The sequence below is a fragment of the Homo sapiens genome, chromosome 4, assembly GCF_000001405.40.
Source record: "Homo sapiens chromosome 4, GRCh38.p14 Primary Assembly".
Lineage (NCBI taxonomy): Eukaryota > Metazoa > Chordata > Mammalia > Primates > Hominidae > Homo > Homo sapiens.
The window spans coordinates 3,868,128-3,880,639 of record NC_000004.12 but is presented as its reverse complement, the minus strand read 5'-3'; the positions used below and the strand labels follow the sequence as shown (position 1 = coordinate 3,880,639).

General features: G+C 56.3%; 4 annotated features.

Moving 5' to 3' along the window:
• Positions 25–580: an enhancer, noted in NCBI's record as "H3K4me1 hESC enhancer chr4:3881787-3882342 (GRCh37/hg19 assembly coordinates)". NCBI's record gives its function as "activates a minimal SCP1, AML or CMV promoter by ChIP-STARR-seq in naive H9 embryonic stem cells {active_cell/tissue: H9 hESC(naive)}" and the evidence as "EXISTENCE:reporter gene assay evidence [ECO:0000049][PMID:30033119]".
• Positions 581–1,138: an enhancer, noted in NCBI's record as "H3K4me1 hESC enhancer chr4:3881229-3881786 (GRCh37/hg19 assembly coordinates)". NCBI's record gives its function as "activates a minimal SCP1, AML or CMV promoter by ChIP-STARR-seq in naive H9 embryonic stem cells {active_cell/tissue: H9 hESC(naive)}" and the evidence as "EXISTENCE:reporter gene assay evidence [ECO:0000049][PMID:30033119]".
• Positions 6,894–7,858: an enhancer, noted in NCBI's record as "H3K4me1 hESC enhancer chr4:3874509-3875473 (GRCh37/hg19 assembly coordinates)". NCBI's record gives its function as "activates a minimal SCP1, AML or CMV promoter by ChIP-STARR-seq in primed H9 embryonic stem cells {active_cell/tissue: H9 hESC(primed)}" and the evidence as "EXISTENCE:reporter gene assay evidence [ECO:0000049][PMID:30033119]".
• Positions 11,879–12,392: an enhancer, noted in NCBI's record as "H3K4me1 hESC enhancer chr4:3869975-3870488 (GRCh37/hg19 assembly coordinates)". NCBI's record gives its function as "activates a minimal SCP1, AML or CMV promoter by ChIP-STARR-seq in naive H9 embryonic stem cells {active_cell/tissue: H9 hESC(naive)}" and the evidence as "EXISTENCE:reporter gene assay evidence [ECO:0000049][PMID:30033119]".

Genomic DNA, 12,512 nt, shown 5'->3' with positions numbered 1-12,512 from the left:
GAGGTTGGGGTGCCCAGGCCTGGTGGCGGGGCGGGGCAGGGGGGTCACCTGCAGGCGTGTGGCCGGGGGAGGGACGGCTCCCAGCTCAGCATCTGGGCAGAACAGCTCCTTGGGGGTGGGAAGGTTCCCCGCAGCGCTTCATCCTTCTAAGTGAATATGCAAATCCCCTCCTCCCGCTCGAGAGGGAACTTCTGCGGACCCTCCTCAGGCAGCCCCAGGGCAGCAGCCCGTCCTCTGGGCGCCATCCTGACAGCGCCCTGGCAGCGCAGCAGACGCTTAGTCCGCACCTGTTCTGGACAGGGGTGGGAGACACCAGGATTGTGGCCACAGGTCCCTACCCAACATGGGTACCTAGTGAACAGAGCGCAGCCTGCCCAGTCAAAGGGCTGGGCCCTTCCTGCACAGGGGTCGCCTTGCTTGGGTGCATCTTGAAGGAAGGTCAGAGACACCCAAAAGGACTGGGCTGAGGGAGCAGCGTCTGGGTCCAGGGCACAGCCTGGGCAGAGGCCAGAGGGCAGCAGGCCTGAGTGTGGGATGCAGATCTTGGGGTAGAGGCCAACTCCACGCAGGGAGGCCCCTCCCGCCGGCGGGTGGTCATGGCTGATTTGAGCCTGTTGTTATTGTTGGCAAATTAACAATACACTGTTAATTGCATGTGGCTGAAAGTAAAAATTAATAAGGAAACAAGTGGGCCCTGCTGAGCTGCTCGCGTCGGGGCTGTGGTTCCCACGCTGGGGCTGCGGCTCTCGCGCCGGGACTGTGGTTCCCACGCCGGGGCTGTGGCTCTCGCGCCGGGGCTGTGGTTCTCGCGCCGGGGCTGTGGCTCTCACGCGCTCCTCCTCGGCTTCCGAACCGGAACACAGCTGCAGCCTCTATAGACTCCTTCCGTGGCGCTTCAGTGCTGAGCCCTAGCAGACTCCTCCTGGCCAGACTTTCCTGGCTCCTCTGATACCTCATTGCCACCGGGCCTCCACCCGGGGCTTTGGATTCATCTCTGCTGGTTTAGGGAGAACCTCTGACCTCTGCTATCTCTCCCCTCCGTGAATGATCCGGTTCCTCATCCCCCACCTGTGAGTTCTGACTCCTCGGCCGCCTTCAGCAAGAATCTCCTGCCCTTAACTTCTCATCTCAGTCTTTTGCCATCCCCCGAGGCCCTTGGCTATCAGCCCCCACTAGTCCTTGTGGCAGGGGCTATGAACCCCCTCCTCCTTGGCTAGAGACTCCCGCTTGTCCTCGTGGTCTTCGGCGTTGAGCTCAATCTCTCCCTGTTGTGGTCATCCTGACGGCTGCTGCGATAGTCTTGAATAGAGTCTTCCTCACTGTTTTAAGTGTCAGGATCGTGTTCTATGTACTCCCACCCCCGGCTTCTCCTGCCCCCTCAGCTGGCCCGGCATTTTCCCTGGGAGCCTTCATCACAGGTCAGTGGATGCCATATGTTTCTGAGCCGGGGTGTGAACTCTGTTTCCATTCTTAGATAACTTGTTCTCCCTGTGACTTAAGCATGACCTTATAGTTTAATTTTCTTCCTCTATGGGGGACCTATTCGTGAGTGTAATAAGGGTTTTCTGCATCCCTGTATTCCAGATGTATATTTCCAGGATACAGGGCTGCTTTTAAGTACCAAAATATTCATATTTTTGTTGGTATCATGCCAATACTTCAGTATGTTGAAAGTTCTGAGACCTGATTCCATTTACACAAAGTAGAAGAACAGACAAAAGTAATCTGTGCTGTGAGTCAGAACTGGCATCACCTGTGGGAATAGGCGGGGCCCGAGGGGGCTCCTGAAGTGCTGGTTCCCTAGTGTGGGCACTGGTTACTCAGGAATCTTCACTTTGTGCATTTCCCCAAGCTGCAGCCTTAGGGGAAGAGTGTCTGACCTGTTTTGTGGTCCTCTCCCTATCCCCATTTTTCTGCCCCCAAATGCTTTACAGACTTGACACTCATCCAGCAGTGCTTTTTTCCAATGCCCAAGCATAGCTCTCAAACGTCTGTCCCATGCATTTTCCTTTTGAGCTGCTCCCCGGTCCCCTATGTCACACCACACTCAGGCTGCAACGGGCTCTCCAGGCCTGGGCACCGTGTATGTCCCCACACTCCCCATGAACTGGTTCCTGGGTGAGAGCCACTAGCTCTCAAATTGTGAGCCCCCTCACTGAGGTCCGTCCCTCATTGACTTACACCTTCTAGAGCAAGCTTGTCCAACTGTGGCCCATGGACTGCATGTGGCCCAGGACAGATTTGAATGCAGCCCAACACAAATTTGTAAACTTTCTTAAAACATGAGGGGTTTTTTTTGCAATTTCTTTTTTCTTTCTTTCTTTCTTTTTTTTTTTTTAAGCTCACCAGCTATTGTTAGTGTTAGTGTATTTTATGTGTGGCCCAAGATAATTCTTTTCCAGTGTGGCCCAGAGAAGCCAAAAAATTGGACACCCCTGCTCTAAAAGTCTCTTAAGGAAAGAAGCATGGAATGGAACTTGTAAATTCCACTTATTCTGACAATATCTTGATTCATCCCTCAAACCTGATTGATAGTTTGGCTGGGTATCAAATTCAGGGCTGAAAATCATTTTTACCTTGGCCCATCCAAGGCCTTGCTCACTGACTCACAGCCTCCAGTGCTGCCCTCCAGGAGTCTGAAGACCTCGGAGTCTCTGCTCCAAGTGTGAACCTTTCCTTTGTCCCTGAAGTGCTCAGCTCTTTTCTTTGTTCCTACTGTTTTGAAATTTCACAATATCAGTGCTGGGACCTTGGTAGGACCTTCAATCTGGCAAGTTATATTCTTTAGTTCTGAGAAATTTTCTTGAAATAATCAGGTAGAAATTGTTTTCACTTTGGTCTTCCTTTTTCTCTTTCAGGCACTCCTGCTCACTGTATGGTCTCTGTGGAGTCTCCATTTTTAACATGTTTATCTTTTCTATTTTCTGTTACTTTGGGGATTTTTTTTGTTCTATGTTCTAAGATAGCCCCACACATTTTATTTCTGTTAAATTTGTTTTCCTTCTGAAGTCCTCCTCAACTTCAGATAGAATAGATATTAATACATATAATAGATATGGATGGATATACATTTGCAACAGCTCATGTGTATTCTCTGCCCATTCCTTTTGTAGAGCACACTGTTCTTGTTCTATGGAAGCAACATATTCTCTCTCTGAGATTCTCTTTTGCTCCCTGTGTTTATCTGTTCTGGTCTCTGTTCCTCATGGTACAGACATTCCTTGACTGTGCAGCAATCCTTGGTCATCTGTATTAGTCAGAGTTCTTTGGAGATTACATATGCCTATATAAAATAAGATTTATTATAAGGAAGTGGCTCATGCAATTATGGAGGACAAATCCCACAATCTGCATTCTGCAAACTGGGGACCAAGGAAAGCCAGTGGTGTAGTTCAAAGGCATAAGAGCTGAGAGCCAATGGTGTAGTATCCCATCTGAGTTTAAAGGCCTGTGAACCAGCAGCATCGGGAGCAGGTTCTTCCACCCAGCTCAAACATTCAGGCAGAGTAAGAGCGAACTCAACCTTCCTCTGCCTTGCTCTTTTGTTCTATGCAGGCCCTCAACAGACAGGAACGGTGCCCGCCCACACTGGGGAGTGCAGTGTGCTCACTCAGTCACTATGCTAACCTCTTCCACAGACAACCCAGAAATCATGTTTCACCAGCGATCTGGGCATCCCATGGCCCAATCAAGTTGACATATAAAATTAACCATCACACCATTCACCCCTGCTTGAGGATGAGGCACCTGAAGGCAGAAAGAAAGGTGGGTGAAGAAGGACATTGAGTAAAGGTAGGAAGACAGCCAGAGAGTGAGTCAATAGCTCTCTGGTGGTACCTGTGAGGCAAGCACTGCTGTTCCCCATTTTACAGATGCTCAAGGTCACACAGTCTGTAGAGAGTAGATCTGGTCATCTCTGTTAGTTCTAAGGTGCAGCCCTGGGATGCCTGCTCTCACACCCTTGTCTGGCCGGAGCTCTGCAGTGCACTTCACGTGCTTTTGTCACCCTGACGGGTTTGGAGAGCTCTGCAGTGCGCTTCACATGCTGTGGTCACCCCGCAGGGTTCCCAGAGCTCTGCAGAGCCCGTCACGTGCTGTGGTCACCCCGCAGGGTTCCCAGAGCTCTGCAGAGCCCGTCACGTGCTGTGGTCACCCCGCAGGGTTCCCAGAGCTCTGCAGAGCCCGTCACGTGCTGTGGTCACCCCGCAGGGTTCCCAGAGCTCTGCAGAGCCCGTCACGTGCTGTGGTCACCCCGCAGGGTTCCCAGAGCTCTGCAGAGCCCGTCACGTGCTGTGGCCACCCTGAAAGGTTCTCAGAGCTCTGCAATGCACTTCACAGGCTGTGGTCATCCCAAAGGGTTCTGAGAGCCCTGCAGTGCACGTCACGTGCTGTGGTGACCCCGCAGGATTCCAAGAGTTACCCCGCAGGGTTCCAAGAGTTCTGCAGTGCGTTTCATGTGCTGTGGTCACCCTGAAGGGTTCTGAGAGCTCTGGGGTCACATGAGCTCTTACTTAGGAGTAAAGAGTTTTTTGTTTGTTTTGTTTTATTGCCCTGGAATTCAGAGGACTTTCCAGGGTCTGCATAGGGCAGAGAAGCTGGTTCAGGGTTGCAGCTGGCTTGAGTCTCTTTGTCTCCCACCCTATCTAGTGGGATCTGTTGTGTCTCTGTGGCAGAGCTGTCCTTTCCATCCTCCGGCAGCCGGGTTCCAGCAGCAGAGGCACCGGCATGCTTCCACTCACTGTGGCTGCACACTGCAAAGCGAAGTCCACTCCAATAGCAAGACCATCAGAACGGAGCCCACACATAGAGGTCTCTGTCTTCACATCATGGCCATTCTGGGCGGTGCCTTTTCTCACCATACTCTGGGTTCACGGCTCTCTCCACTCTATTCCTACCCTCCATTCTATGCAAATGCTAAGCCTCTCCTTGCAGAGACCCTGGGGACCAGCATGGGCAGGGCAGGGGGACAAGCAGCTGCTTCTACTGTGGCCAGATATGGCAGAGGCTGGCAGAAGAGGAGCTGCTTGGTCTTAGCAAGCAAGGAGTAGGGCAGCAAAGGGGTGATGACTCCCGCAGTGCCCAGTCCTGTGCTAAGGCTACAGAATCACCTTAAAAATGACTTCTTGTGTGCCCAGATCTTGGGTTCTAAAACCATTTAAAAAAAAAAAAAAAAGGAACCACGGCTGCTTGGAGAAATGGCTGATTCTAGAACTGGAGCAAAGGGAAATACAAGAGGGGCCTGGGGCACCGTTTCACCCCAAAGAGCAAGGAGGTGCTCAAATGAAACTGAAACACCCAAATCACACTGATGGGGCCTGTCAAAGGGACAGGAGCCAGCACAGAGAGCTCCCAAGGGCTGAAGCTGGGGCTACTGAGCAACGGAAGGAAGCACCACTGGATTATCAGGAAAAGCGCACGACGGATGTCCACAAGCCCACACTGGCAGAAACAAATGGCCAAATAAATAAATAAATGGGGGTGGGGGGCGAGGGGACAAACCTCCATGCAGAAGGATGCCACATAATATAGGTAGATGCTCCGCCCTCTGAGAGCTGTGGCATAGCTCCCCATGCCTTAAGCCTCGGCTGCACAGTGACTTCCTGCCACAGAGGACAGTGTGGAAATGGGGAGAAAGAAACTTCACAGTGGAGAAACCTGACCAACACCCCTCAGCCAGGTGACCAGGGTCAAGGTCCACAGTCCACAGTCCTAAGTGTGCCCTTGGTACAAGGTGATGGGGATGGCACGGCACCTCTCTGGTTTTCCCCACCAAGAACCCATCATAACCCCAATCTAATCACAGGAAACACATCACACCAGTCCCTATTGAGGGACAGTCTACAAAATCCCTGAGCAGTCCTCCTCAAAACTGTCAAGGTCATTGGACACCAGGAACGTCTGAGAAACGGCCCCAGCCAGGCAGAGCCTACGGAGATGCGAGCAAGTGTCATGCGGGGCCATGGGTGGGATCCTGGGACAGGGCATTGGGTAAGAACCGAGGCAATAGGGATTTGGGACTCTGGTTAGTAACAACAACGTGTCGATACTGGTTCACTGATTGTAACAAATGACCACACTGCTGCCAGATGTTAGTGATGGGGAAACAGTGGAAGATATATGGAAAACCTGTACTATTTTCTCAATTTTTCTATAAATATAAAACTTAAAAAATAAACATTATTTTAAAAAGTAATTCTAATGATAGCACTAATGGTCGGGTGGGATGTTCTCATTCACAGGCAAAGACACGGAGTCTCTGAGAGGTGAGTGCTTCCCCCACCCCAGGTACAGAGCTCTGAGCGCCGAGGCGTCGGAGGATGGTGGCTGGAGGCTGGTGTCATAAAGGCTGGCATCCCGTGGCTGGCTTCCCAAGGCTGGCGTCCCGAGCCTGGCGTTATGAACGCTGTGGTCCTGAGGCTGGCGTCCTGGGGCTGGCATCATGAAGGCTGGTGTCCTGAGGCTGGCCTCCCAAGGCTGGTGGCCCGAGGCTGGCACCACAAAAGTTCTTTCTGTGCCTTGGGCAGCATCTTCAGGAGGAACCGGATCAGATCTGGGCAGCGGGTTTGGGCCTGCAATTCACCCCTTCCATCCTTGGGCCGCCCAGCCAGACGCTAGGTCCCGCATCTTCTTCTTGGCTTCTCAGGGTTTCATCTCCCCAGACTGCATTTCCGTCCGCTTTTCCATCCTGTCTCCCGCCCAACCCTCCCTCTCTCCCCTTTCCCTGATCAGCTCCTCCCTGCCCCTGCCCCACTGCCCGGCCCCACCCTGACCATCCCCAGAGCTGATCCTGCCCTGGCCAGGTTCCAGAAGGCACCTCAGGGGCTCACCATGACGGGTCCCATGGAGTCTGCCCTTCCTCCTTCCCTGGCATGTCTTCATACATGAAGACGCTGACCTGGCCTCCAGTGAAATATTTAAACCAAATGCATCTGCTGCGAGGTAGCAGGATCTGGGGTGGAGGTGGTTGGCTCCGCCCCTGCCTGGCTGGCTCAGAACACAGAGAAGCCCAGGGCTGGGGAAGGGCGGGGAGTGCGCGCAGGGACAGAGACTCCAGCCATACAGGGGAGTGGCCTCCCCTCTTCACACAAGAGGGCAGGGCATGGCTTGGTGGGGAGGGGCCTTCTGAGGGAAGCGCCCTGACTGTCCGAGAGTGACCCTCCTCTGGGGTGGCTTTTGGATTCTGCTGCCCCATCTGCCTAGACTATGGGGAATGTTCCAGCACATTCCCCAGAGAGGGCACAGGCCCTCCCTACTCCCCTCAGTAGGGCCCCCAAGCCCTGGGGAAGCAGCAGGGCAGTGGAGAAACAGGAACTCAGATGGTCTTCCCCATCTGCTGCCTAGCAACGCCCTACCTGCCCTTTGATTCAGCGTTTGTGTTGCCTCTTCCAGGAAGTCCTCTCTGATAGCCCTCGGTTGGGCTATGGCCTCTTCGACAGCTGTCACAGCCTTTAGGGTCACTGTGCAAATTAGGAAGAAGCGTCTCCTCCTCCAATCATCTCATGCCTCTGCTGCGTCCCCTCCTCCAATCATCTCATGCCTCCGCTGTGTCCTCTCCTCCAATCATCTCATGCCTCCGCTACGACCTCTCATCCAATCATCTCATGCCTCCGCTGCGTCCCCTCCTCCAATCATCTCATGCCTCCGCTGCGTCCCCTCCTCCAATCATCTCATGCCTCCAGTGGGAACCTCGTGATGAGCATGCATCCGATTTTTACTATGCGCACAGCATCCTTCAGGGTGCCCCTCTTCCCCCGACCCCTGCTCTTCTCACCACCCTGGTCCCACCACCATCCAAGAGCCAGCTACCCCAGGCCTCAGGCTGTGTATGGCCCATCTCTGTGTCTACAGGACAGGGCGGGCACGCAGTAGGTATAGTGGGGTATCCTGGGAACACCCAAGCTCACCAGGACAGGCTCTGGCTGTGGCTCAGGAGGGGAGGGCGCTGGGCTGGGACTGGAGCTGGACAGGGTGGCACGGCACTCCCCAGAGACTGCAGACAAGTGTGCCGGGCAGGCCCTCCCTGCAGTTCTCCTCTCACCCATCCACCCATCCACCCATCCTCCCTCTGTCTCTCTGCCCACCCCTGCGCAGAGGGGCCACGGGGCAAGCCCGCTGAGCTCAGGTTTTCAAAACACAGGAATGGGAGGGCAGGTGACAGGGTTGGTGACAGCAGTGCAGGGTGCTTGGAGATGTCCTAGGGTAGGGCTCCCCCAACCCTGCAGCGCCACTCTGCGAGTCAGCGGCCTCCTTCTCCATTAGAGAGGAGGAAATGAGGCAGGAGGCGGCCAGCCCTTCTCCCACGTGCAGCCGGCAGGGCCCCCAGACGCTCCAGCCCCAGGACAAACTGCCTTGTACCGTGCGTTAAGGCCATTTCACCCGGGCTCGCAGCCCGCGCTCCGCGTCTCCAAACAGAAGGCCCGGCTAGGAGCTGCGCGCACCTCGGAGGCCTGGGCAACTTGGACCCAGTGCCGTCTGCGCCTCCGTTTCCTCATCAGTAAAAGGGACCGTAATTCCTCACCAGGACATGACCTCGAGCCCACCGAGAGCCCCCACGGCAGGGAAGTACTGGGTTCCCCTCTGTCTCCCGCACGCTGCCGGGCGCAGGGTTGGCGCACAGTAGGTGCTTCCTCTGTGAGTGTTCGAGCCGCGCCGCGACGGCCTGGATGGCAGTGGGGGCGCGCACTCGCCCTGCGACGCCCCCGCCCCGTCCCCGCGGCCCCACCGTGCACCTCCCCCGCCCCCGCCGCCGTCCTTCCCCTCCCCCTCACCCCTCCACCGCCCCGCCACGTCCCCGCCAGCCCCGCGAACCCCGCTCCCTCTGGACAACGGCTCCTGGGAGAGCCTATTAAAGTGCAAGTCGAGTCTCCCGCTCTGCTTTCGGCTTCCTGTCCCGGTGCACACCCGGGGCTCCGCGGGGCTGGGCTCTCGGTCTCCATGGCAACCCAGGCGTCCCGCCCACAGGAACCGCCACTCAGGAGGGCTGACGCTCCACCGCGGTGGGCTCTAGACCGGCCAGGCAGCGGTCGCGCAGGTGCGGCACCTTCTCCGCAGCGGTGTGGCCAGGAGGGAGGTGGGGCGGCGTAGACCCAGATCCGGGCCCCCACCACCTGCCGAAGGGATGGGCTCCTCGAGGCTCCTCCCCGTTGCTCACCCTCGTGATGTCCCCGCGGAGCCCACCCCGGCGCACCCCAGGGCAGGTGCGGGCCATTGGAGCCAGGGTGGGGATTTTACGTCAAGGCGCACAGCTGCTCCCTCCCGGTGGAGCCCGCGATCGCCCTCCAGTCTACTGCATACAGCCCTAACTCCCACCCCGGGACAGTGACCTCCCTGCGGTTGAGGCCGGTCTGTCTCCCACCCTAAACCTCCTTCCAGGGACCCCCGGGGTGTCCCAGCCTCACCTCCTTTCCTCTGCGGCGCGGCCCTGGACCGGTGTGGACCAGGCAGGCTCCGCCAGGGAGTGCCTCCATGACCAAGTGCGTCCTGTCTCTGGCCCTTGTCCCCTCCCTCTCTGTCTCTTTCTCTCTGAGCACCTCTGTCTTTATCTCTGTCTCTTTGTCTCTATCTCCCCGTGTGTCAGTATGTGTGTCTGTCAGTCCCTGGAGCTCACTGTGTCTCCCAGTCTCTGCGTGTCTCTGTCTCCTCCTGTCTCTGTGTCTCTCTGTCTCCTGTCTCTCTATGTCTCTGTCTCCTCCTGTCTCTGTGTCTCTCTGTCTCCTGCTGTGTCTGTGTCTCTGTCTCCTCCTGTCTCTGCATAGATGGCACCCAGAAGAGTGTTCGTGTCACCAGAGGGCAAGGAGGACCCTCCCCACAGCACCTGTCCCTCCCCACCCCCACCCTCGCCGGGGGTGCCCCCGCAGCATCCCACTGTCCCCGCCATCTCTGCCTCGCCCCCTTAGTCCTGCTGCCACCCGCTCTGCCTCTCCAGAAAGCTCACCAGGTTAGGAGTCCCATGCGGCTCCCTCTAGGTTAAGAAGTGAAACTTCCCTCTGTTGGAAAGTCTTGAGCGTCAATTTTAATTAAAAAGTTAATATCATTGAAATAGGGCAAGAAACTGCTGATGAAATCTTCAATATTTTCTCTCCATCAACAGCTTTAATATTTTATGACCTTTCCAATTTGGTGGTTGTACCCTGATGTGTCAGAATTCCATGCCAGTGTCCGGGCCTGCTTCGTTTGCTGGGTCTCCAGTGTGTGGGCGTCGCAGCTGGCATTCCTATGTGACTGATGAAATCGCCCCATGAAGCTTGGGTGCTCCTGCAAAGCCCTGTCCTGGGTCCCTTGCCTTGGGCCCCATCTCCTCCCTTTCCCCAATGGGGAGGAGTGGAGGGGCTGATGCCTGCGAGTTCCCCAGCACCAGGTGATCACACGGTGTCTCCTGAAGCTGCCCAGCGTGGTGTGAGGGCAGCCCCAAGCATTTCTGAGGCAGGAAGCCTGGCTCCAGGGGATAAAGGACCGGCCCGTCCCTTCTGCTCCATTCTGCTCTGGGAGAGCTGGGGTCTGGGGCCTCCGCCTTTTGCTCCTGAAGTCTGCTTTTCTGTTGCCTGCCCAGCCTGTGGAGGGGAGGGCAGCCAGGGCTTACTGGGCAACGAGACAGCCCCTGGCTTACCACAGGGGAGGCCCACGAGGCTATCCAGGACAGCGGCAGTGACAGCCGGCCCCGGCTTCAGCCTGCCAGGCCGAAGGACCCTGGTGGCACATCAGGAAGCCCTCCCTGGGGCTGGCAGAACAATGTTGGGGACAGGGGGCTTCTGGGCCAGGCAGACCTGCCATGCTTTTGCGTTGGGGCCTGGAGTTGTGGCGAGGACTAGGTGAGGAGAGTTCATGGACAGCAGAGCCCCTGCACGTGAGCTTTCCACGTGATGTGGGGACCAAAGGTGGGGTGGGGACCATGGCTTCAGCTGTGCAGGTGCCGGTTGGCTCTCACCTGGGCTGAGTGGGGACCAAGGGGGATTGCTGTGGGTGGAATTGTGTCCCCCCAAAATACATGTTCAAGTCCTAACCAGCTGCAGCTGTGAATGTGACCGTATTTGGAAATAGGGTCTTTGCTGATGTCAGTAAGTTACGATGAAGTCATCCTGGATTTAAGGTGGCTTCATCCAATGGCTGATGTCCTTGTTAGAAGACACAGGCACCTGGGGAGAATGTGACAACTGAGGCAGGGATGGGAGCAATGTAGCCACAAGCCCAGGAACACCTGGGGCCCCAAGAGGGAGCCTCGCCAAGGCCTCCTGAGGGAGCACGGCCCACCGGCACCTTGGTCTGGCATTTCTGGCCTCCGGGATGGTGAGAGGATAAACTCTGTATCTGAGGTCACCGGCTTTATTGCGCTTTGTCGGCAGCTGTAGGAAATTAAAGGCAAGATGTCAGGTGGACCCACTAGGACCCAGCCACCACAGGGAGGCCATCTGAGAAGCTGCAGGTCTCTCCTGCTTAGTGGCTGCCTCTCCTCCCTCCCCACTGCCCTTGACACTGCTCTCTTCGACTCCCAAGGACACATTAACCCTCAGATCCCTATCTCCAGTCAGCTCTGGGGAGACACAAACCCAGACACGTCATTTGCTTGCACTGCGGGGCACTCAGAGATGGATGCCCATGTTTGGTCTGCTGCAGTGGGTCATCTGGGGAGTGGGGGTACGTGGTCATGGGGTCTGCATTCCTTGTTTCCAGAGAACCTCTATGATGTGGCATTCCCAAGTCACAGGCCCAGGCCAGGTCCTGCAGCAGGGGTGAAGTGCATGGGACCCTTGGGCCCTGCCTCTAGGGGGCTGCTGTCCCTCTGCTTGCCCCCGGTGTGAGCGCCTGCTTATGGTGAGAATGTGAACCCTTCGAGGTCCTCGGGAAGCGAATCTGGGGACCCCAAGAAGGAGGAGGTGGGCCGGGGCATTCCAGGTTCACATCTGGGGCTGGAGACTTTGGCCTGGCATGCACAGGTCTCAGCTGCCCAGGCCTGGGAAGAGCTGGCATGATGACACCCGCTGGCATGGCCTCGGTGCGCGAGCCTGGCACACAGTGGATGCTTGAAGACTGTCTGCGAATGCTCCAATGACCTTATCAGGAGGCACATCTGGTGGTTAGGCCGCTGTCCTTGGTACTGCTAGGGCTGAGTCCCTGAGGGTAGCAGCTATCTCTAGGACTGAGACTGACCCGTATTCCTTGGTGATATCCAGGAGCAGTGCTGGCAGCTGCATGGTTGGGCCTCCAAACCTCAGGTTGCAATTTGATCCCAGAGTGTTGGAGGTGGGGCCTAATGGAAGGTGTTTTCCTCATGGAGTGGATCCCTGTGAGTAGATTCATGCCCTGGGGCGGGGGTTGGGGAGTGAATTCTACTGTCTGAGTTTCCGACAAAGCAGCTACTGAAAATAGCCCGCACCCACCTCCTTCTCTGACTTCCTCTCCCGCCCTGTGAGCTCCACACACGCAGCCCCTCCCCCTCCACCGTGAGTGGAAGCTTCCTGAGGCCTCCCCAGAAGCCAAGCAGATGCCAGGGCCGTGCTTCCCAGGCAGCGTGCAGA